Below are 24679 nucleotides of genomic sequence, written 5' to 3' on the forward strand. Positions count from 1 at the left end.
TATCTGCCATCAGCCTTGTTTTTTTCCAAAATCAGAATTTGTTCTCTGCTGTTAGCTGCGGGTGTCAACATCATGGACGTGTGTGTGTGTGTGTGTGTGTGTATGGTTTCTTATATATTTTCATGTCAACACAATTTAGCTGACAAAATTCTAGCCTCTTTCAATAACAAAGTTGTGGTTTTCCTTCCAGCATGAAATCAACAGCTGAAAAGAACAGTATAGTAAAAATACTAAACCAATGTACCATGCTGAAAATCTGTACCAAGTGAGTTATTGAAAAATGAATATCATATGTTTAAATAATCCAAAGGTCAAAGAAGTCTCAAGGGCAATAAAAATATACATGGAATGAAATAAAAATGAAAATACAAAATATCAAACTTTGTGAGACACAGCTAAAGTATTGCTGAGAAAACAATTTATATCACTAAATGCTTACATTAAAAAAGAGAAAATGTCTCACATAAATAATCTAAGCTCTTATCTCAAGAATCTACAAAAAGAAGAGCAAAATAAACCCAAAGTAAGTAGAAAAAAAGGAAAAAAATAAGGAGCAAAATTAATAAAACTGAAAACATAAAAAAGAAATGACACAAAAAGATTGTTCTTTGAAAAGATCAATAAAAGTGATAAACCTTTAGAAAGACCCACCAAATAAAAAAAGAAAGACACAAATTAGCAATATCAGGAATGAAACAGGGAGTATCACTACAGACCCTGCAGACATCAAAGGATAATAATCAAATACAGTTGACAGCTAACCCTTGTACGGGGGGGTTAGACATGGTAACCTCCTCTATCTCCATGCAGTTGAAAATCTGCATATAACATTTGACTCTCCCAAAACTTAACTATTAATAGCCTACTATTGACCAAAGCTTTACCATAACATAAATAGTGGATTAATACATATTTTGTATGTTATATGTATTACATGCTGTATTCTTACAATAAAGTAAGCTAGAGAAAAGAAAATATTAAGAAAATAACCTCTCTTGGTAAGTCTAGCTAGCAATTTATTAATTTTATTTTTTCAAATAACCAACTTTCTGTGCTATTGATAATTTGTATTGTTTTCTTTTGTTTTAATTTCATTTAGTTCTGCTCTCATCTTTATTTCTTTTCTTCTGCTAGTTTTGGGTTTGTTTTTTTCTTCTTTTTCTAGTTCCTTGAGGTGTGATGTTAGGTTGTTAATTTGCGATCTATTTTTTTTTTTGGATGTAGAAGTTTAATGCTATAAACTTCTCTCTTAGCACTGCTTTTGTTGTATCCCAGAGGTTTTGGTATGTTGTGTTTCCATTTTCATTCATCTCAAAAAATTTTTAAATTTTCATCATTGACCCAAGATTATTCAGGAGCATGTTACTTAATTTCATGTATTTTTATAGTTTCCAGAGTTCTTGTTATTGATTTCTAGTTTTATTCCACTATGATCTGAGAATATACTTGATATGATTTTGATCTTTAAAAATGCATTGAGACTTGGTTTGCAGCCTCACAGATGATCTATCTTGGAGAATGTTCCATATGCTGATGAGAAGAAGGTATATTCTATAGTTTTGAGTGGAATGTTCTGTAAATGTCTATTAGGTCCATTTGGTCTAAAGTCCAATTTAAGTCCAATGTTTCTTTGTTAATTTTCTGTCTCAATGATCTATCTAATGCTGTAGGTGGGATGCTGAAGTCCCTCACTATTATTGTGTTATTGTCCATCTCTTTCTTTAGATCTAGTAATATTTGTTTTATTAATCTGAGTGCTGTGGTGTTGGCTGCATATATATTTAGGATTGTTATATTCTTTTGTTGAATTGATCCCTTTATCATTATATATAATGACCCTTGGGTTTTTTTAAGGTGTGTTTTATCTGATACAACTATAGCTACTCCTGCTTCCTTTTGGTTTCTGTTTGTGTGGAATATCTTTTTCCACCCCTTTACTTTCAGTATATATGTGTCTACCAAAAAGTTGAGTTCCTCGTAAGCAGCATGCAGTTTGATCTTGTTTTTTTAATCCATTATGTCAGTCTTTATCTTGTAAGTGGAACATTTAATCCACTTACATTCAAGGTTAATATTGATATGTGACATTTTGTTCCTGTCATATTGTTAATTGTTATCTAGTTGTTTTATCAATTCTTGGCTTTTTCTTCCTTTGTCTGTTGTCTTTGTGGTTTGGTGGTATTCTGTCATGTTGCCATTTGATTCCTTCCTCTTCCTCCTTTGTGTAATTGTTTTATGAAACCTGTGAGTTTTTATATTCTCATGTGGTTTTATGATGGTGAATACCAACCTTTTGTTTCCATCTTTAGTACTCCTTTGAGCATTTCTTGTACAAAAGAAGAGAGGAGATCCAAATAAACATACTCAGAAATGAAAATGAGACATTGCAACTGATACCACAGAAATACAAAAGATCATTAGAGACTATTATGAACAACTATATAGTCATAAACTAGAAACCTAGAGGAAATGGATAAATTCCTGGAAATATACAGCCTACTGATATTAAACAAGGAAGAAATAGAAATTCTGAACATACAAATAACAAGTAATGAGAATGCATCGATAATAAAAAAAATTGCCAGATTTTTTATTCCAAAAAATCCCAGGCCCAGGTGGCTTTTTTTTAAGTTTCAAAAAAAGGCCAGCACCAGATGGATTCACAGATGAAGTCTGCCAAATGTAAAGAGAAGAACTGTACCAATCTTCCTGATACTGTTCTAAAAAATTGAGGAGGGAATTCACCCTGACTCATTCCACAAAGCCAGTATCACCCTGATACTAAAGACAAGGATACAAGAAGAAAAGAAAACTACAGAGCAACATTCCCCGTGAACATAGATACAAAAATCCTCAACAAAATACTAGCAAATAGAATCCAAGAGCATATCCAAAAGATAATACAGGATGATCAACTGGGTTTTATTCCAAGGATACAAGGATGATTCAACATATGCAAATCAATACATGTGATTCACCACATAAACAGAACTAAGGACATAAGCCATATGATCATCTCAATAGATATAGAAAAACCATCTGATAAAATTCAGCATCACCTCATGATAAAAACACTCAACAAACTAGGCACAGAAGGAACATACCATAAAATAATAAAGCCCCATATATGACAAACCCATAGCCAACCTCATACTGAACGGTGGAAAGTTGAAAGCATTCCCTCCAAGAACTGGAACAAGTCAAGAATGTCCACATTTACCACTCCTATTTAACATAATACTGGAAGTCCTAGCCAGAGGAATGAGGCAAGAGAAACAAATTTTAAAAATCCACATTGGAAAAGAGGTAGTAAAATTATTTCTGCTTGCTGAGGTTATGATCTTATATCTAGAAAATACTAAATCCTTTAGATTTAATAAATGAATTCAGTAAAGTTTCAGGATACAAAATCAACAGACAAAAATCAGTAGCATTTCTATAAACCAATAATGATCAAGCTGAGAACCAAATCAAGACAGCAATCCCATTTACAATAACTAAAATTAAAACAACAACAACAACAAACCACCTTAGGCTGGGTATGGTGGCTCATGCCTGTAATCCCAGCATCTTGGGAGGCTGAGGTGGGCAGATCGCTTGAGCCCAGCAGTTCGAGACCAGCCTGGGCAACATGGTGAAATCCTGTTTCTACAAAAAATACAAAAAATTAGCTGGGCATGGTGGTGCACACCTAGAGTCCCAGTTACTTGGGAGGCTGAGGTGGGAAGATTGCTTGAGTCTGGGAGGCAGACATCGTACCAATGTACTCCAGCTTGGGTGGCTGAGAGGGACCTTGTCTCAGTGAAAATAAAACAAATAAAAACAAAACAAAAAATCCTGGAAATAAATTTAACCAAGGAGGTGAAAGAGCTCTACAAGAAAAGCAGCAAAACACTGATGAAAGAAATTATAGATGACCCAAATAAAAGGACAAATATCTCATGTTCATGGATCAGAAGAATTAATATTGTCAAAATGACCATACTGCCCACAGAAATCTACAGATTCAATGCAATTCCTATCATTAGAAAAATGATGTTGATAATTTATTGGAATTAGAAACAAATTCTAAAATTTGTATGCAACCAAAAAAGAGCCTGAATAGCTAAAGTATTCCTAAGCAAAATGAACAAAGCTGGAGGCATCACATTATCTGAGTTCAAATTATACTACAAGGCTATAGTAACCAAAACAGCATGGTACTAGTATAAAGGTAGACATATAGATCAGTATGACAGAATAGAGAACCCAGAAATAAAACCACATATTTAGAGACAATTGATCTTTGACAGAGCTGACAAAAACACACACTGGGGAAAAGATACCCTGTTCAATAAATGGTGCTGGAAAAATTGAATTGCGATATGCAGAAGAATGAAATTGGAACCATATCTCTCACCACATAAAAAAATCAACTCAAGATAGATTCAAGACTTAAATATAAGACTCAAAACTATAAAAATACTAGAAGAAAACCTAGGAAAAACGAGACATTGGTATAGGCAAAGAATTAATGACTAATATCTCAAAAGTACATATGACAAAGACAAAAATAGACAAGTGGGACTTAGTTAAACTCTTCTGCACACCAAAAGAAATAAATAACAGATGCTGGGTGCAGTGGTTCACATCTATAATCCCAACACTTTGGGAGGCTGAGGCGGGCAGATCACTTGAGGCCTGGAGTTCCAGACCAGCTTGGCCAACATGGCAAAATCCCATCTCTACTAAAATATTAGCTGGGCATGGTGGCACACACCTGTAATCCCAGCTACTTGGGAGGCTGAGGCATGAGAATTGCTTGAAGCCTGAGAGCCGGAGGTTGCAGTGAGCTGAGATCATGCCACTGTACTTCATCCTGAGAGACAGAGTGAGATTCTTAAACAAAAAACAAAAAACAAAAACAACAGAAATAAACAACAGAGTGGACAGAGAGCCTGCAGAATGGGAGAAAATATTTGCGACTTATGCATCTGACAGGGGACTAATATCCAGAATTTACAAGGAATTCAAACAACTCAACAACAACAAAATACAAATAACCCCATTAAAAAGTGGGCAAAGGACATGAATAGACATTTTAAAAGAAGATATACAAATGACCAAAAAGCATATGAAAAAATGCTCATTATTACAAATCATCAGAGAAATGCAGATGAAAACCAGAACATGATACCATCTTACACCAATCAGAATGGCAATTAAAAAAAAAAAACCCAACAGATACTGGTGAAGATGTGAAGAAAAGGGAACTCTTATACATTGTTGGTGGGAATGTAAATTAGTACAACCTCTTTGGAAAATAATATGGAGATTTCTCAAAGAACTAAAAGTAGAACTACCATTGAATCCAGCAACCCCACTACTGGGTATCTACCCAAAGGAAAAGAAAATAGTTATATCAGAGATAACTTGCACATGCATGTTTATCACAGCACAATTTACAATATATATGCAATGGAATTATTATTCAGCCATAAAGCAGCAACACGAATGGAACTGAAGGCCATCTTTTTTTTTTTTTTTTTTTTTTTTTTGAGACAGGGTCTCTTTTCTGTTGCCCAGGCTAGAGTGCAATGGCACAATCATGACTCATTGCAGCCTCAACCCCCAAGGCTCAAGTGATAGAGGTCATTATCTTAAGTAAAACAACTCAGAAACAGAAAGTCAAATACTGCACGTTCTCCTTCATAAGTGGGAGCTAAATAATGTATACACATGGACATAGAATGTGGAGTAATACACACTGGAGACTCAGAAGAACGGGAGGTAGTGGTGGGGGGTGAAGGATGAGAAATTATTTAATGGGTACAATGTACATTATTTGGGTGATAGATACACTAGAAGCCAAGACGTCATCATTATGTAATATATCCATGTAACAATGCAATTGTACCACTTAAATTTATATTTTAAAAAAAATCATAAGGAAGAAAAATATATTTACTATTCATTATGTGGAAGTAGGTCATCATAAAGGCTTTCATCCTCATTGTCTTCACACTGAGTAGGCTAAAGGAGGAAGAGGAAGAGGAGGGGTTGGTCTTACTGTTTCAGGGGTGGCAAAGGTAGACGAAATTTTGGATTTAAGTGGACCTTCCCAGTTTAAACCCATGTTGTTCAAGAATCAACTGTACTGTGAACAACTCTACACACATAAAACTTGTCAACTTAGATGAGATAAACCCACTCTTCAAAAAGCACAGACTACTATAACTCATCTATGAAACAGATAATTTGAATAGCCCTGTAACTACTAAGGACATTGAATTCATAATTAAAATCTCCCAAGAAAAAAATTTCCAGGCCCAGAGAGTTTAACTGGAAACTATTTCAAATATTTAAAGAATAATTAGCACTTTGAAAAGGAATGAAATGGGAAGAATCACTCTACCCAATTTTAAGACTTATTTCATAGCTATAGTAATATGTGATATTGGCAGAGGGACAGACACAAAGATTAATGGAAGAGAGTTAAAAAAACCCAGAAGTAGCCCCACACAAGTATGGCCCACTGGTTTTTGACAGTGGTGCCAAAGCAAGTCAATGAGGGAAGGATAGTCTTTTCAACAAATAGTGCTAGAGCAACTAGATGCTCATAGACCAAAAAAAAAAAAAAAAAAAAAACAACAAAAATCAAAACCAAGAAACCTCAATCTAAACCTTTGACCTTATACACAAATTAACTCAAATTGGATCATTGATATAAATGTAATGGATAAACTATAAAACTTTAAGAAGAAAACATAAGAGAAAATCTTTGAGACCTAAATCTTGGTGAAGAGTTCTTGGACATAACACCAAAAATATAATACATAAAAGAAAGAATAGATAAACTATTAAAATGAAAAACATTTGCCCTGCAAAAGGCCCTGTTAAGACCATCTCCAGAATGGGAGAAAATATTTTCCAACCACATATCAGACAAATAGCTCATGTCTAAAATATATATAGAATCCTCAAAATTCAACATTTAAAAAGAAAACAAAACAAACAAACAAAAAACAACCAATTCAGTTAAAAAATAGGAAATGACTTGAAGAGACATTTCATGGAAGAGGATTTTTCAAATGGCAAATGAGCACATGAAAATATATTCAATGTCACTAGCTACAAGGGAAAGGCAAATTAAGACCATGATAAGATATTATCACATATGTATCATAATAGTTAAAACAGTAAAAATAGTGGCAATACCAAATTCTGACAAGGATGTGGAAAAATCTAGATATCTCATACTTTGCTATCTAGTTTGGGGAATGTAACATGGCATAGCCACTCTGAAAAGAGTATAGCAGCCTCTTAAAAACCAAGCACGCACCATATGTGTTAGTCAGGGTTCTCCAGGAAAAAGAGCCAACAGGATAGATAGTGCTGGCCTGGGCCACCAAGATTTTTTAACAGTCACCTTCCAACCCTGCCCCAAGTGATTCCATGAGCAGCTAAGATTAAGAACCACTGCCCAGGGGAGACTTGGATTTTGTATGCAAAACAATTACTCCATGTGGTCCTACAATTTAGGCAAATTTGAAAGATACCCTTGTCTCTACCATCTGACATACCACCCACACTCAGCACTTGGCCAGCTCTGGGAACCCCTTGTATTCTTCTGGCTTTGAGAGAAATTGTTGAATGTAAGGTATGAGTCCTGCTGAAATCTGGGCCGTTCCTACTTCTTGGCTGAATATTTTGTCTGAGCTGGCCCCACATTGGCTCAAGTAAAGTCTTCAAAATTATTAATATATTTTGTGCCTCAGCTTCCTCAGCTGTAAAATGAGAAAGACACTCATCTTGCAGAGTTGAGTGCTTTAGATGTGATGTTGGTCAATGATTGCCATTTTGTAGAAGCTTAACAAATGGTAGCCATTATTTTGAAAAAAAAAAAAAAAATAGGATATCATTGAAATCAGCAGCAGCAAAGTTAAAAGACAGAATTGTGGCTCCTGTTTAGTTCACATATTTCCCTGGGAAGGAGGAAAGTTTCTATGCTGGGGCATAGAAAACAAGGGGCTATACCTCAATGGTCCCAAACTGACCTTATCAGGTTGGCCTTCTTGATAGTTTCACTTTCCAGATGCTAGAGAAATTTGCTGTGGGCCACTGCCCTCTATTGAAGTAATATTGTCACTTCTGAGGAAAGAATACTTGGACTTGCCATAGGAGAAGTCAAGGATTGCACTTGAATTTCATCTCACTGGGGTAAAGCTGACCCCTGTGTGAGCACTGAGAGAGAAAAGAAACTTTTTATGTGAGGAATACAAACCCCTTTAATATATCCAGCCCAGAAAGGCTTTGGAGTAAAAAGCTGTCACATCTCAGTCCCTGCTTGAGCTAAGTAGTTACCTCTTGAAGCCACTTGCTGTGGGCTCTGGACTAACTGATGCCACGTAGCTATAAAATGCCATATACCATAATCATGGATGCCACAACTCATATCCTCTAGCTCAGGGGTCCTCAACCTCTGGGACGCAGACCAGTTAGGAACTAGGCTGCACAGCAGGAGGTAAGCAGTGGGCAGGCAAGTGAGCAAAACTTTATCTGCTGCTACCCATTTCTAGTATTACCACCGGAGGTCCTCCTCCTGTCAGATCAGCAGCAGTATTAGATTCTCATAGAAGTGCAAACCCTATTGTGAACTGTGCATGCGAGGGACCTAGGTTGCATGCTCCTTACGAAAATCTAATTCCTAATGATCTGCCACTGTCTCCCATCACCTCCAGATGGGACCATCTAGTTGCAGGAAAACAAGCTCAGGGCTCTTACTGATTCTACATTATGGTGAGTCATGTATTTCATTATATATTACAATGTAACAATAATAGAAATAAAGTGCACAATAAATGTAATGCACTTGCTTCATCCCCAAACCATCTCCCCTACTCCTCCTAGGTCTGTGGAAAAATTGTCTTCCATGAAACTCGTCCCTGGTGCCAAAATTTTGGGGACCACTGCTGTAGCTCAACAACATAAAGCCAATCACTAATCAATGTTATTTCTGCAAACCAATGAGAATTCCTGTCAAATAGCTTTGTATCAGTCCACTCCTTGCTCACTTTTTGTCTTTAAAAACCTGCCTGAATGGATGCAGCTGGAGACAATTATTCTAAGTGAATTAACACAGGAACAGAATACCAAATACCGCACGTTCTCACTTATAAGTGAGAGCTAAACATTAGGCACACAGGGACATAAAGCTGGGAACAACACACATTGGGGACTATTAGAGTGGGGAGAGAAGGAAAGGGGCAAAGACTGAAAAACCACCTATTGGGTACCATGGTCGCTACCTGGCTGATGGCATCATTTGTACCCCAAACTTCAGCATCATGCAATATAGCCATGTAACAAACATGCACATGTAACCCCCTGAATCTAAAATAAAAGTTGAAATTATTTTTTAAAAAGCCTGCTCGCAACAAAGGCTGGATGCGGCACTCCCCAAAGCAACTTGGAAGTGTGTCCTGAGCAGCTGGCCTCATGTTGGCTCAAGTAAAGTCTTCAAAATTATGAATATATTTTGTGCCTCATCTTCTTCCTTTGGGGTCAGCATTTTTGGTGCCATGAGAAGGATTCAGAATAACCCCCTTGGCTCTACTATCTGACTTACCTCCCAGACTCAGCGCCTGGCCAGCTCTGGGAACCTCTTGTATTCTGACTTTGAGAGAAATTGTTGAATGTAAGGTATGAGTCCTGCTGAGATCTGGGCCTTTCCCATTTTTTGGTTGAAGGTCTAGATTTTGCCTGAGCTATGTTTTCCGATCCTCCCTTACTAGAATGGGAGTTTTCCATCTGTGCCTAATGGGCAGGAGATTTGGGTTCCAGAAAAGAAAAAGGGTAGGGGGAACAGCGTTTTTTCACCTCTGCCTTGGGGAAGGGAGGTCTGGGTCCAGGCATTGGCAATTTGACATTGGTGGTTTTGCTTTACATAGCACGCTTTTAAAATTGCAGCTGCTTCCTATTGTTTGAAATTCAGACTTGGATGTTTCATCTGTGACCAATTCCTATTAGTTCTAAACTGAAAAGTGCATGAGAGTGAGTTCTCTTGCTATGGAGAAAGGGCAGTTGCTCACTTTGACCAATTGGAGTGCTCTAGGTGACTGGAGACTTTGCAGAGTTTGCAGAGTCTCTGCAGACTTTGCAGAGGTGTCAAGGCTGTTGTCTAGGATATAAAGGACGCTCGTAGGGTATTCCTCACCACAAGAACGTTTTTTAGGGACTCGATCATCTGCATGGGCATAAAATACGGGACTGATCGCTCATACCTTTAGCACTCTGGTGCCACCTGGTGGTTAGAGGCATTCTGAGACAACGTAAGAGAGCAACTCATGACTTTTGGGTGACACCTAGAGGAGCAGTGCTCGTAAGCACCACACTTCCACCCAAACACATCCTGGGCCTTGGTCATTTTTAAGAAGTTCCTAAGTTACGGGAAATCAAGCTTGAAAATCTGAGCGCTCTTTTAAGGGACAACCATTGTTAGAAACACCATCTGGTTTTATGTACAACACTTATGAGACATCCTCTTGTAAATATCTAGGAAAACGGACCCATATAGCCCAGGATGATCATCAACAATGGCCAAAATGTGGGTCTTTTGAAATGCCCAAAATGATTCATTTGTGTGCACAATAGAGAAAAAAGCTGGTTTTAGAACATGAAATAGGATAATTACTTCCAATGGCACCTAGAGTTTTTTTAAGATAAATTCTGAGAAAATTGCCTCAATCCAAGAGGTAAACAAAAAGATCCTAAATCTATTTCTGAATTTAAAAAGACTTTGAAGCCCTCCTCCCTTCCACTTCCAGCTGTTTCTCCTCATCCTACCCCTGCACCTTTATATCCTCTCTTATCTCAAGTCCCCTGTCCTGCCCTTCCTTCCCTCCCACTACCACCTTAGGAAATTCCCTAGAACTTGAACCCCCTCCCTGAAACCCCATTTTGGCAGCCCCTTTTCAGGTAAAACCACAGCAAGAGGTGAGACCACTATTATGTATACCCCTTGGACAAAAACTGAACTGAAGAATATTATAAAAGACTTCCCTGACCTGCTCCAAGATCCCATAGGGTTTGCAGAACAATCTGCTTTAATTGTCCAGACTTATAAGCCCAGATATTCTGACCTTTATCAATTAGTTCACATGCTGGTATGAGAAGGCAGGGCCACTGAATGGCAAAAAAGGCAATCTGGAAAAATCCCTCAGAGGATTTGGAAAAACAAACAGAAGCTGACCATGAGAAGATCCACACTTTAGCCAAGTCTCTCTGTGATGCCATTTCCTGGGTCTTTCCTCAAATGTAGAGTGGAAGATAATTCAACAATATACTCAAAGGCCAGATGAATTTGTGCTTAATTATTTTGAACAGTTAAAAAAAAAACCTTTTAACAATATTCTGGAATGGAATGCCTGATGCTAGCCTCCAAGATCACCTATAATCGTGCCACTGTACTCTGGCCTGGGCAACAGAACAAGTCCTTGTCTCAAAAAAAAAAAAAGAAAAAAAAAGCCAACAAGTCTCCAACCTCTTGGAAGCAGTCCCCAACTGAAATCTCATAAAAATATAAAAATTCCTGGTCATGCCAAATTAGATACTCCAGAGAGCAAAGGCAATCATTTCACTGACAATGCCGCTAAGAATGCAGTCCTGAAGGTTACATCAGACAATAGATACCTTGAAATGTCCTTACAGACTTATTACCCATTTAAAACTTTGGCCAAGCATGGTGGCTCACATCTGTAATCCCAGCTACTTGGGAGGCTGAGGCATGAGAATCTTTTGAACTAGGGAGGCGGAGGTTGCAGTGAGCTGAGATTGTGCCACTGCACTCCAGCCTGAGTGACAAAGCGAGACCCTGTCTCAAAAACAAAAACAACAAAAAACCCCAGCCCCCCTGCCAAACAAACAAACAAGAACTTTATTAGAAGCAGCACAAACAGGAGCTCTCAAGAAGGAAATCGACCTCAGGAAAGATAAAGGAACCAAGTTTTCCCCAGAAACAGGCTTATGATGTGGACTTAATGATAGACCAATCTTTCCCTTAGGGCTTCAATTACCCTTTAAATGATGTGTTTATGAGCTGACTCATTGGAATCCAGATGAAACGACAGCTTGGGGAAAGCAATATTATTGGAAACCATCCCCTCTTGTTTATTCTTGCTGATGGTTTGTCCCAAACATAATCCTGGAAAACTCCTTCATAGGTTACAGGGACATTTTCCTTTACCTTTAGGACCCTTTGATATATGGCAATTGGACTTTATCCAGCTGCCCCTGTCTCAGGGTTATAGATATGTTCTGGTGCTAATTTATGTGTTTTCTCATTGGGATGAAACCTGCCCGTGCCAATGAGCCATGGTCCAAGTAGTAAGAAAATTGTTATTAGAAAAGATAATTCCTTCATGGGGAGTTTCATCTGAGCTCCAGAACGGCCAAGAAACACATTTTACTGGTCAAGTAATTCAATCCATTTGCAACATTTGGCCTATATTCCAATTGTGCTTTTAACCCCCAATCCTCTGGACTGGTGAAACACACCAATGGTATAATAAAAACTCAATGGCCAAACTAATTGAAGTTTTTAACCTCTCCTGGCCAAAGGCTGTCTCATTAGTTCTGCTCAGCCTGTGATCCACACCATTTGGAAAACACCAGCTCTCTCTCTTCAAAATAATAACAGGAAGGCCCACGTGACTAGATGAAGGAACTTATGAACTTGCATTTCTTAAAGGTGATATCCTCCATTACTGCCACAGTCTCAGAATACTTCTTATTAAGAACTCAAAATTAATCAAGAGTTCCTTCTGCAGAGAGCTCTGGGGAGATGAAATCATCAAAAATCATGGCCTGTAACTGGAGATTTCTTTTTTCTTTTTAAAGGTCTCTGATGTCTAATATTTGACAGACCAGTGAAGTAGTTTTGGCATTGCAAGCATTTTTGCCCTTTGTGAATTTCCCACTAGAGTGATTTGCAACTATTCCTTTTCTTTTTTTCTTTTTTTTTTTTAAAAATCTTATTCTAGATTTGGGGATACACATGCAGCTTTGTTATAAGGGCATATTGTGTGATGCCGAGGTTGGGGTGTGGTTGAACCCGTCATTCAGGTAGTGAGCATAGTACCCAATAGTTAGTTTTTCAGCACTTGCCTCCCTGCCTTCCTTTCCCTTCTCATAGTTCCCTGTGTCTCTTGTTTCCGTCTTTATGTTCGTGTGTACCCAATGTTTAGCTCCCACTTACAAGTGAGAATATGTGGAGATTTTGATTACTGGAAAGGATGTCGAATAAAAGATTCCTTCTCACCCAGTGGGAAGGGACCATATCAGGTACTATTGGCCAATCCCTGTGCCACTAAACTTAAAGGCATTGATGCATAGATTCATATTTCTCATTTTAAAAAGACAACCCTACCTGAGGGGACGTCTTTCATCATGGGAGATCTTAGTGGAATTGACTTGCAGTCTTCCTGACCAGAATGGAAAGTAGCTGACATTTGTGGTCACCTGTTTTCACCCAAGATACCAGACCAAGCCTGTATAACTTGTTCTTCATGATTCTAATGCCTACCACACCTGAAATATTTGCTCTCCTTTTTCTATTGACTGGAATACTTATGGCGTTAGGCCTCCATACTGTGAGTATCCTCTCTTGGATAAAATTGTTTTGGTAAAATCATCATATATATATTTATATGTGCATATATACATGCATACACACACACACACACACACATATATTCTCTTAGGATATATGTAAACAAATGCCTATAATCAGGCTCCTTTTTTTTTTTTTTTTTTTTTTCCTTTTTTTAGAGATGGGGTTTTGCTCTGTTGCCCATGCTGGAATGTAGTAACATGATCATAACTCACTGCGGCCTCCAACTCCTGGGCTCAAGCAATCCTCCCGACTCAGCTTCCCGAGTAGCTGGGGCAACAGAAGTGCACCACCACACCCAGCTAATTAAAAAAAAAATTGTAGAGAAGGGTCTTGCTATGTTGACCACACTGGTCTCAAACTCCTGGCCTTAAGTAATTCTCCCACCTCGGCCTCTCAAAGTGCTGGGATTACAGGCATTAGCCACTGCACCTGGCCTAGGTTTCTGTTTTTGCCGTCCCTGATAAATTTGACTGTAGCATGGAGGGATAATTCTCTGATCAGAATCCCACACACCATTGCCACTGCTGGAAATCTGAAGAGATGCTGGGTTTGCTACCCTAAACCAAAAACTACTTTTGACCACAATGACCCACTGGTACATTCTGCCCTAAATTTCACCAGTGTTCATGATAGCACTTGTAACACAACTCAGGGCCACATAAAAGCAAACCTGTTAATCAGGTCTGCCTGACTCATCCTAACCTGTTTGTCCTATGTTTCAATGTAACTCATCAGAATTCTTTTGTCAAAAATCACTGCTGCGTTACTCACTAATGACAGTACTAAAATCCATGATGTTGTTAGAAAATCCAAAGAAAACAGCCCCTCCAGCTATCAGGATCCTGTCTTCTTGCTTTAACATTTCTGACCCATTGATCCAGTAATGCCTCAAAACTGATGTTCTTAAATTATAGTGTACTTATCTGTGCTCCACCAGGATTTATTATAGTCTGTGGAGAAAATCACCAGCCATGGTCCTGTAAGTGTCTAAGAGCATGGAATGTTGAAGGGCAATATGTCTTAGGATATTTCGTTACCCTTCTCTCTATATACAGCTCTGAAGAAACTCAGCACTGGACTAGTTCCCTCAAACTTTTCTCTAGGCATGACTGCAGATCTACCTTAGATGGAGATTCTATTTAGAGAAAATGTGCTAATTATCTGGCTGGCCATCAAGAAGATAGCTCCATGCATTTTTTTTTCTTTGAGAATACTTTTGCCTTTGTTGGATGTAACTTCCCATGAACACATGATCTAAAATCCTTCTAAAACCCTAGGAAACATTGCTGATGAAACTGCTGTCTCCATCACAGCTCAACAAAAAGCTACAGATTTACTGACTAAGGTTGTGCTAGACAATCACATTGCTTTAGATTCTATATTAGCTGAGCAAGGAGGTGGATATGTGGTGGCAAATACCTCTTGTTGTATATACATAAGTATTTCCCATGAAGTAGAAACTCACCTAGGAAAAATCAGGGAAGAAGCTGCTTGACTACAGGTCTCTAAAGAAAAACTGAGATTTAATTTTCTTCAGGAGGTTTTTAGTTGACTCTTAACAGACTAGATTCCTTTTTCATTCTGGCATAAAAATTCTCTTTTTGGTTCTAATCCTATGTGCATTATATATTTCTATTATTCCAATTAATGCTAGATATCTTTCATTGTTTTATTTCTTCTGAGAAAATGAAAATCATGGTATTCCAGAGACTGGCGATGATGGAGCAAACAACAGCAGCTATGTAAGTCAATACTTTGTGGACTCACTTTTGCCATTCTGTATTGTCATCCTGATTCAGCTTTTTGGTGCTCTTAAAATTCCTCACTGAGATGTCTCCACTCCCCCATGTGGGACAGGGCTACCCAGGAATGAGCCTTCCTGGTGACAAGGGACAAGCTGGCACTCAGATTTGTATCATCAGTGCTTTTGAGGAGAAAAATTTGTGATCAAAAGGAAGGAAATGAGAGCAAAAGGAAACTTTTAATCATAGGAATGTGAGCCCTTTTAAATTATCAGTCCCAGAAAAGCATTGGAATGAAAAGCTATCACATCTCATGCCTCCCTTGAGCTAAGTAATTACCTCTTGAAGCCACTTGCTATGTGGACTCTAGACTAACTGATGCCAAGTAGCTATAAAATGCCATGCACTGGACGCCATAACTCATATCCTCCAGCTCAACAATGTAAAGCCAATCCCTAATCAATGTAATTTCTATAAACCAATGAGAATTCCTGCCAACTTTTTATCAGCTCACTCCTTGCTTTCTTTTTGTCTTTAAAAATCCACTTGTACAGATGTAGCTGGAGGCCATTATCCTAGGCGAATTAATGCAGGAAAAGAAAACCAAATACTGAATGTACACGCTTATAAGCAAGAGCTAAACACTGGGCACACAAAGACATAAAGACGGAAACCGTAGACACTGGGGGCTACTAGAGGGTGGAAGAAAGGAGTGGGGTAAGAATTGAACAACTATCTTATTGGGTACTATGCTCACTACCTGGGCGATGGCATCAGTCATACCCCAAACCTCAGCATCTTGCAATATACCCATGTAACAAATGTGCATATGGTACCTCCCGAATCTAAAATAAAAGTTGGATTTTTTTTTTAAAGCCTGAATGCAACAAAAGCTGGATGGAGTACTCCCCAAGGCAACTTGGAAGGGTGTCCTGGGCAGCTGGCCTCACATTGGCTCAAGTAAAGTCTTTAAAATTACATTTTGTGCTCAGCTTCTTCATTTTAGGTGGACAGCACTTGCAGAAAACCTTGCCCCTCTTAAGGAGTTCCTGTAATCATGATAGCTAATACATGGAGCAGCCTATGTCTGCTCTAAGCATTTGACATATATTATTAAAAAAAAAAAAAAAAGGTTCCATCACCGCAAACACAACTCATCACACCGCGAACACAAGAGGCAGGTACTAATGTGATCTACATCTATACAGATTAGGGAACTGAGGCACAAGGAGGCAAGTAACTTGGCCAAAGTCATGCAGCCAGGGAGCATCAAAGCTGGCTTCAGTCTTTATTCCTAACCAGCCTCTTGAATTCCTCTGATGCTTTCGATCTTATCATGACAATTGTTCTGCAGCCTGTATTGTGGTCCAAGTATTTTTTTCTCCATTTTAAACACTTTGAGTTTGCACTCCATCCTGTCTGCCCCTCCCCTTCACAGCAAATTTCTTGAAAGAATAGGCCACGTTCACTCTCCTTCCAGCAGCAAGCCTGCCATCAGTTTTCACTCCCAAGGTCAGGAGTCTGGCCTTGGCCTGGCTCACTGATCTGCCTGTGCACTGTTCCCCAATACTCCCACTCACTTCCATGTCTCAACAATCATGCATAATGCCGGCACCCCCAACCCCATACATTCAGTCCAAACCTCCCTCTTGAGCTACAGATCTACAGTGGTCAACCTTGGTGTAGGGCCTCCTTACTTGGTGTAGTCCTTGGTGTGACAGCAGCATCTGGGAGCTTGTTAGAAATGCAGTTCTGGGCCCAACCCAGACATGCTGAATCAGACTCTGCATTTTAGTAGGACACTCCCCTGACCCAGCAGATTCTTGGGCACAACAGAGTCTGAGCAGTGTGATGTCTTGTGACATAGCAGTTACTGTAATGCTCTCCCATGCCTCTACCTGCTGGTGCACCCATGCCTTAGGTGCTAAGAGTCCTGGCTGCTAACTTCTCATACCTGCACTCTTCTCTGGAGGATGGCTCAAGCCCGTCTGCACATTCCAGTCACCTGGGGATATATTAAAATGTCCAAAGCCAGGCCCCACCACAGGCCAAGGAAATCACAATCTCTGAGGTTGGGATCTGACATCAGCATTTCTGAAGCCCAAGAGTTGCCCTTAGACAGACATGTTTGGGACTCACTACCATAGCTGATGGGTGCTGCCTTGCTTAGAGGTTCTGGAGCTTTCTCATACTCCTCCCAGCTGCCCATGACTAGCGGCTGACTGATGCTGGGCCACAGAAGCTCAGCCACCTGTCGTAGCGAGGGACACCTCTGCAGTGCCTCACCTTACTCCAGCCCTGGGCGTGGCCAGGCTGAGGCCAGACTTCTGCCCACCCTGTCCTCTGCTTTATCCTGCTTCCCTCGCTCCTACACATTTCTCCTGAGAGCCCTTCTCCATGCCTTACTTTGCACAAGAATCTCTTTCTTAGGCTCTGATTTCAGAAATCCAACCCAAGACACAAGGATAGCACCACCCCAGACTCAACTAACACCAAACTGAACTCAAATCTTCCCCTGTGCCTTCTTCTCCTCCTGTGCCACTCCCCTTCTCATCCTCTGATCCTCCACCATCCTCCCACACCCGCCCATTCTGCACATGCTGGCCTGGAGCATGCAATGTCTTGTCATGTTGCTCCTGCCTGAAGTCCCCAGTGTCTCCCTGGCATGCGCAGCAGTGTTTCCTAAAATGGGATTGTATTCTGTGTAGTCCTCAAGTCATCTGGGAGAATTTTTAATTATCTGTTGTCATTTGATAACTTAAAAAATACGTTATTTTATGAGCACATTCTTGATGTCTGGACGGCCACATCTGCCTCCTACTTCCAGTGCCCACACTTCAGCTTAAGATATTTTTGGAACCAAATGATCACTCAAAGAAATAGCTTTTCATTTTCAAAAGTACTGGTAGGTGAGTCTGGCTTATGTTACTTAGGCATGTCCTAATATCAAAATGACAATAGTTATCATGGACCGTACTCATATGACTACTATTACAATAATATTTACAATTTTTGAGTGTTTATCGTAGGCACTGCATGGTACATGCCTTATCTCACTTGATCTTGACACAGCTCTATGAGATAAGTATTGCAAATATCGTATTTGTTTCAGTTATCTATTAGTATCTAAAGAACCACTCAAAACTTAGTGGATTAAAACAATAACAATGTATGATTTCTCATGATTCTTTGGTCTGGAATTTCAGGTGAGGTTCAGCTAGGTAGTTCTTCTGTTCGTTTCTTCCGTGGCTCAGCTTGAAGGTTCAGGAAGAATTCAGTCATGTCTAGTGCTTCAGGTTCCTCCATGTGGACTTTTTTTCTTCATGTGGTTTCTCATCATTTGCTTGTCTAGCCCAAGCTTTACAGTCAGCAGCTGGCTTCCTAGAGACCACCAGCATCACTTCTGCCACATTGTATTTGTCCAAGTTAATCACAAGGTAACCCTAGATTCAAAGGAAGGGAAGTAAACTCCAGATCTTGATGGGAAGACAGCAGGCATGCATGTAGAGGGATGGGAAGAACTATTGATGGCCATATGCCCATTTAATAGATGCGGAAACTGTGTCTATTTATCCCAGCCAACAAGAGGCAGAGTGAGGACTAGAACCCAGGCTGTTGGGTTCTATGGTCTATGCTTTAAGCTATTACGTCATGTTCTACTTTCATTGTATCCCCTATGCCTCACTAAGTCTCAGCTATAAAGACAGAACTCTTTTGTGTGATAGTTCACAATCCAAAGGCACTTTTCAGAGAAACCGATGTCATGAAAAACACAGGGTTCAGGAGAGGCCCAGTGGTCTCATGGTTTTTTCTCTCACACTCCCTCCTTTCTCCATCACTCTCCCAATCACACTCTAGCTGAACTGACCCCTTTGCTCCCCCAAATATGCCTGTGCTTTCCAGTGTTCTGCTCATTTAATACATTGGTCTCTCGTATTTTTCTGTTTTGTCCACTAGAGAGAGGTCTTCTCTTCTTAAAGACAATTCCTCCTCCTGCTTCACAGCCTAGCAGCCACTGCGCTGTGGAAATGTGGTTGGTCTGAATTGAGGTGTGCTTACATACAAACCATACGCCAGATATTGAAGACTTAGTACAATAAAGAGAATGTAAAACATCTTATTAATACATGCAATCAGTTGATTACATGTTGAAATGATATTTTAGATCTATTCAATAAATAAAAGATAATATTAAAATTAATTTCACATTTATTTATTTACTTATTACCAACTCGGTCTTACTCTGTCACCCAGGCTAGAGTGCAGTGGCATGATCTGGCTCACTGCAGCCTCAAACTCATGAGCTTTAGCAATCCTCCCACCTCAGCCTCCTGAGTAGCTTGGACTCCAGATGCCCACCATCACACCTGGCTAATTACCTATTTATTTTTAGATTTAAAAAAATGTAGCTACCAATTTTTTTTTTTTGAGATGGAGGCTCACTCTGTCACCCAGGCTGGAGTGCAATGGCACGATCTTGGTTCACTGCAACCTCTGCCTCCGTCTCCCGGGTTCAAGTGATTCTCCTGCTTCAGCCTCCTGAGTGGCTGGGATTACAGGTGTGTGCCACCACGCCCAACTAATTTTTGTATCTTTAGTAGAGACGGGGTTTTACCATATTGGTCAGGCTGGTCTTGAACTCCTGACCTCGTGATCCGCTCCCCCTCGGCCTCCCAAAGTGTTGGGATTACAGGCGTGAGCCACCGCGCCAGGCCTAACAGAAATTGAAAATTGCATATGTGACTCACTTTATATTTCTATTGGACAGCACTGGTGTAGGGGATGCCTCCTCATGGCAAACTCCAAGGTAACTCTGAAGAACCCTAAGGCTCCAAGGAACCCAGGCTGAAAACCATTAGGTTGATTTGACTCATGAGGAAACTGAGGCTGGAATTGGCCAACAACTTGTTCATGGCTATCGAAGTGGTAGAATGTTGAATTTACATGAAAACCCAGATGTTCTATGCCCTGTTTGTTTTTTTCTCTCCTATCCTGGAGGTGCTTGGATACCATGTGAGGATGTAGGCACAAGCCACTCTGCTGGGCCTTTGAGGTCCTTCATCAGAAAGCTTCACCATCTCAAGTCTGTCTTGGCTGGAGACCCTGGAGACAAGCAGTGACTGCTCCGCCCTTCTTGCCCTCTTGTCTTAAACTACCCTTTTGACTTGCCCAATCCCAGTCCTGCTCCCAGGACCATAGTAACTCTTGCTGGAATAAGTCCAATCTAGTTGGAAGGATGAGAAAACAGAGACAGCTTGGCTTTGTCACTCGCTGACCCCATGACCACAACACTCAGCTCACTGCTGAGCACTCACATAGCCCAGGCCTCTCTTGTGCATGGGTGACTGGTATCCACATGGCCAGTGACTCACATGGGAACTGAAAGCTCCCTTTGGTGGGGCAACTTCTCTAAAGTAGCCCCATGAATCAGCAGTGTGGGGTGCTGGAAAGCAAGGGCTGACCCTGACTTGCAGTCAGTCAGGGACCCTGAGCAGAAGCCCCTGCATCACAGGCTTCCACCACAGCCCGGAAGAGTTGCAGCACTGTGGGCCAGTGGTAGTTCCATGTATAGCACGAGTGGAGGCCCAAGATGCATGTGCATGTATGGGCCTAAGAGGTCTCCATGAATTGTTTCTCTGGGTGGTAGAGAACCCAAGCAAGTGGGAGCCAAGAGTATCTACCCCCGTCCCTGACTCTGTTTCCTGTGAGAGGGGCTGTGTTGGCCCAGGCCTGAGTGTGCCAGGGTTGCTTGGGCAACCACTGCCCCATGCCTGCAGTCTCATCTCTCCTTCTGAAGCCAAATCAGAGAAGTGCAGACTCATGGGGCTATGAGGAAACCCATGTTGTGTGGATCAGCAGTCACAAGGTGAAGGCTCTCTTCCCACTTCTTCCGCAGCTCTAGCTGTGTGGCTTTGAGCTAGTTGCTATATGTCTCTGAGACTTCATTTCTAATTTATGTAATAGGTATATTAATGTTAGTTATACTTTGCTATATAAACAAATCAAGACTTCGTGGCTTAAACAATAAACATTTCTTATACAGTTTCTGTGGGTCAGGAATTTGGGAGTGACTACACAGGGTGGTTTCAGCTTAGGGTCTTTCAGGTATGGAGTTCCTTTGACAAGGTACCTGGCTTCCTCCAGAGTGAGCGATCTAAGACAGCAAGACAGAATTCACACTGTCTTTTATGACTAACCTTTGAAGTCAAGTTCTGTCATTTCTACACTACCCTATTAGTCACAAAAGTCAATGCTATTCAAGGATGGTGCAAACGACTGTGGGCCGTCTGAGGCTGGCTAGCACAATGGAGTTATTAATATCTGCCCTGCCCATCTTACAGAACCATTGAGAGGTTTGGTTTGCACACCCACAGCAAGGAAAATCAGCACCCAGAGGATGCATCTGTGAAGAGTCAAGGCAGCATCTGCTAAAAACAGCTGGTGAAGGGGCTTCTGGGGCTGGAGCCTGGAGACATCAGAAGAAGCTCCGTGAGGAACACGGGGAGAGTCAGCTGTGAAGTTTGGCAGCTCAGAAGCCTTCCTAATGGGAGAGTGGCAAGGTTCCATTGAAGATGGGCATGTGGGATGGGAGAAGTCGCTGTGGTCATTTTTGGAAAATACAGTCTCTCATAAAGGACCAGAGTAATCTCCCATATTTGAAGGCCTGTATTGAGTCATGATTGAATATTTTACTATCTAAGTTAAATAATCTAATTCCAAAGGGTCAAAGACAATTTAGAGTTTGATAGAACCTTGAAGATGCTCTGGTTTAGTCATTGGATTGTAAGATGAAAAACCCTGAGCTCTCAAGAGTTGAAATGGCTTGCCCAGTTTACCTAGCTGGCCAGAGGCACAGCCTCATGGAGAATCCCAGGCTCCTGCTCCCCCTTGCTCCAGCCCACCCTTGGGGAACTCTGATGGTCGCCTCACTGGAATCACCCCCCTTCTTTCTTCCAACAGGCTGATTTTGTTCAGGTATTCACCCTGCCCAAATGGCTTATGTGCTCCAAGGGAAGCTGACCGTGCCATGTTGCTCTACCTATAGCCAAGGCCAGCATGGCAGGAGCAGCTTGCCGCCAGTCTGCAGCAGTGGAAACCTCCACCCCGAGAGCCACAAAGTCAATACTGTCAGTGGAAAACAGAGCTGGGGCCACTGGATTAGGTTGGCACAGGCCTGCTCTGCTGAACTTCCCATTTTGTGAATTAACTGTCTCCTTAGTATTCAAGCCACTTTAAGTTCAGTTTTCTGTTACTTGCAGCTGAAAGAACCCTCAAGAAAGTATTCCTATTTCTGGGATTAATCCTGACTTTGGGAAGGGGAATTTAAGGAGATTTAGCTCAATACTATAGGTCTATGCATCAGGCATTGACAGTGTGCCCCTGACCTTAGCCTGGTTTCTGAGAACTTGGATTTTCTCTCATTCTCTTGATTCAAATCTCTACCTGAGAGCAGCTCCGTCCCTCCAGAACCCATTCTTGGTACTCTTGTCACTCTCAGTTGCTGCTCAGGGCTGGAGTCCTCTCTGCTTCCAAAATTTCACGCTGATGGCTATAGCCTTGTAACCCACTGTTGTCCCAGGTGCCTTCTCACCTGCTGCTTATCCTCCTGGATTTCAGAGAATCACTACTCCTGGAGTCTTCTTTGTTGAGTGCTGAATTCTGCCCCTCTTAGCATATGTCTGGTTGGGCCCAAGTGCTATATGCTCATCTGTTTTTTTGTCTATTACTGTCTTAATCTGTTTTGTGCTTTTATAACAGAATACCACAGACTGGGTAACTTATAATGAACAGAAATTTATTGGCTCATAATTCCAGAGCCTGGGAAGTCCAAATCAAGTCATCTGGTGAGTGTCTTCTTGCTGTGTCATTGCAAAGTAGAAGGTATCACGTGGCAGAAGGCATCATATGGTGGAAGGGAAAAAAGAGAATGAACCCATTCCCTTGAGCCTGTTTTTCAGAGGCATTAATCAATTCATGTGAGCCGAGCCCCCATGATTAAAGACGTTACTTCAGGCCCTACCTCCCTACAGTGTTGCACTGGGGGTTAAATTTTAACATGACTTTTGGAAGAGACAAACATTCAAACCACAGCAGTTATTGAACTATGCAGATTCCAGACACCTAAACTTTCCTGCTGGAGTAGACTTCCTCCTTGCACCTGCAGCTAGACAGATGAAGCCTGCCACTCCCACGGTTCCCTTTGTGTCTTTGTGAGGGAGTCTTCTTGCAGATCATCCTGGTAGACCTTGGGGGAAAGTGCTTGGTTTGGGAGGTGCAACATCCCATAATTACCCCTGCAATGTCTAAACCTTCACAGAACAAAGAATCATCACTAATGTTTCACAATGCACAAGGCTCCTTTGTATGCACTCAAGGTTCATGTTTTATCTTATTTTACCCCTGCTGTTTGGAGAGTGAGGTCCCATGGGGATTTTGAAAGCAACACAAGTTGTTCCTGTCTCCAATAAGTGTTTGAATGAAGTAACAGGTGTGCATAAATAAATATAGTTAGAAAAAGTTAATATCTTCTCACTGAGACATGTGCTTATGTTTGGTTAAGGTCTCTGTTTTCATCCTCATCATCTCTTTGTGGCTCTAAACAATTCTCTTGCATTTGAAAACATTACCTGCTTGCTAATAAATGTTTTTATTTAGGACAGAATTCATTCTGAGCCTTGCTCCTGGGGTAACTTGGATTGAGATAGCAGGGGAGTGGGTGAGTTTCCACTCTTATCTGATGGTGGCAGCTGATAGTAACCAAAAGGAACTTTGTGGTTGTGCATGACCAAATTGTCTTAGGTCAGTTTCAACACCTGGGCAGTAGGAAGCGCACATGCATAAATAAGCAGTGAGAATTTGCTACATATTTTAATAGAGGGACCCAGGGAAAGCTAACCTCACACATAATGTGTCTCGCAAACCCCTTGAAACCTTCCCTGGGCTATGGCAGTGCCTCCCCTCTTCTTCCCTGGCCTTTCCCACAGCACCCAGCTCTGATCCTTGTTTCTACTTCATGCTATGGAAAATCTCTTTCCTTCCACAGAAAATATGGGAACAGCCCAAAGTCCAGGCTGGAAGCTCCCTTTGACTCTTTGAGAAGTGGGCTTCTCAAAGGCCCTTTTTCCTCAAAGAAATCCTCATGCCAGCAGCTACAAAGGTATTTCCTTGATAGTCTTTGCAATGACCATGAAAATACTGATCATTGGAAGGGAAACATGATGGTTCAAGGTTCTTGATAAAGAGTTAGGCATTGTAAATTCTGACCTCCTTGCATTTCCTCATGGTA

The 24679-nt window shown here is 40.8% G+C and overlaps 1 protein-coding gene across 2 annotated transcripts in view, besides 2 other annotated features; it reads right to left on the minus strand.

Moving 5' to 3' along the window:
- The window catches only part of XCR1 (X-C motif chemokine receptor 1), a 68838-nt gene extending 51697 nt beyond the window's left edge, over positions 1-17141 (minus strand). Inside the window, exons 1-2 of one of the 2 annotated variants that reach the window (NR_170111.1) lie at positions 17091-17141; positions 5948-6012 (exon numbers count right to left, since the gene is read on the minus strand). The gene's annotated coding sequence lies outside the window, so the exon portion shown is untranslated. The remainder of the gene's footprint in view (positions 1-5947; positions 6013-17090) is intronic. The other variant, NM_001381860.1, reaches the window with a different exon arrangement.
- Positions 933-1102: an enhancer, noted in NCBI's record as "experimental_70191 CRE fragment used in MPRA reporter constructs". NCBI's record gives its function as "activates a minimal promoter by MPRAs in K562 erythroleukemia cells, with activity observed for both the introgressed and non-introgressed 3:46111213 variant alleles {active_cell/tissue: K562}" and the evidence as "EXISTENCE:reporter gene assay evidence [ECO:0000049][PMID:34662402]".
- Positions 20796-20845: an enhancer, noted in NCBI's record as "active region_19790". NCBI's record gives its function as "activates an Ori minimal core promoter by ATAC-STARR-seq in GM12878 lymphoblastoid cells {active_cell/tissue: GM12878}" and the evidence as "EXISTENCE:reporter gene assay evidence [ECO:0000049][PMID:35858748]".

The sequence above is a fragment of the Homo sapiens genome, chromosome 3 (genome assembly GCF_000001405.40).
Source record: "Homo sapiens chromosome 3, GRCh38.p14 Primary Assembly".
Lineage (NCBI taxonomy): Eukaryota > Metazoa > Chordata > Mammalia > Primates > Hominidae > Homo > Homo sapiens.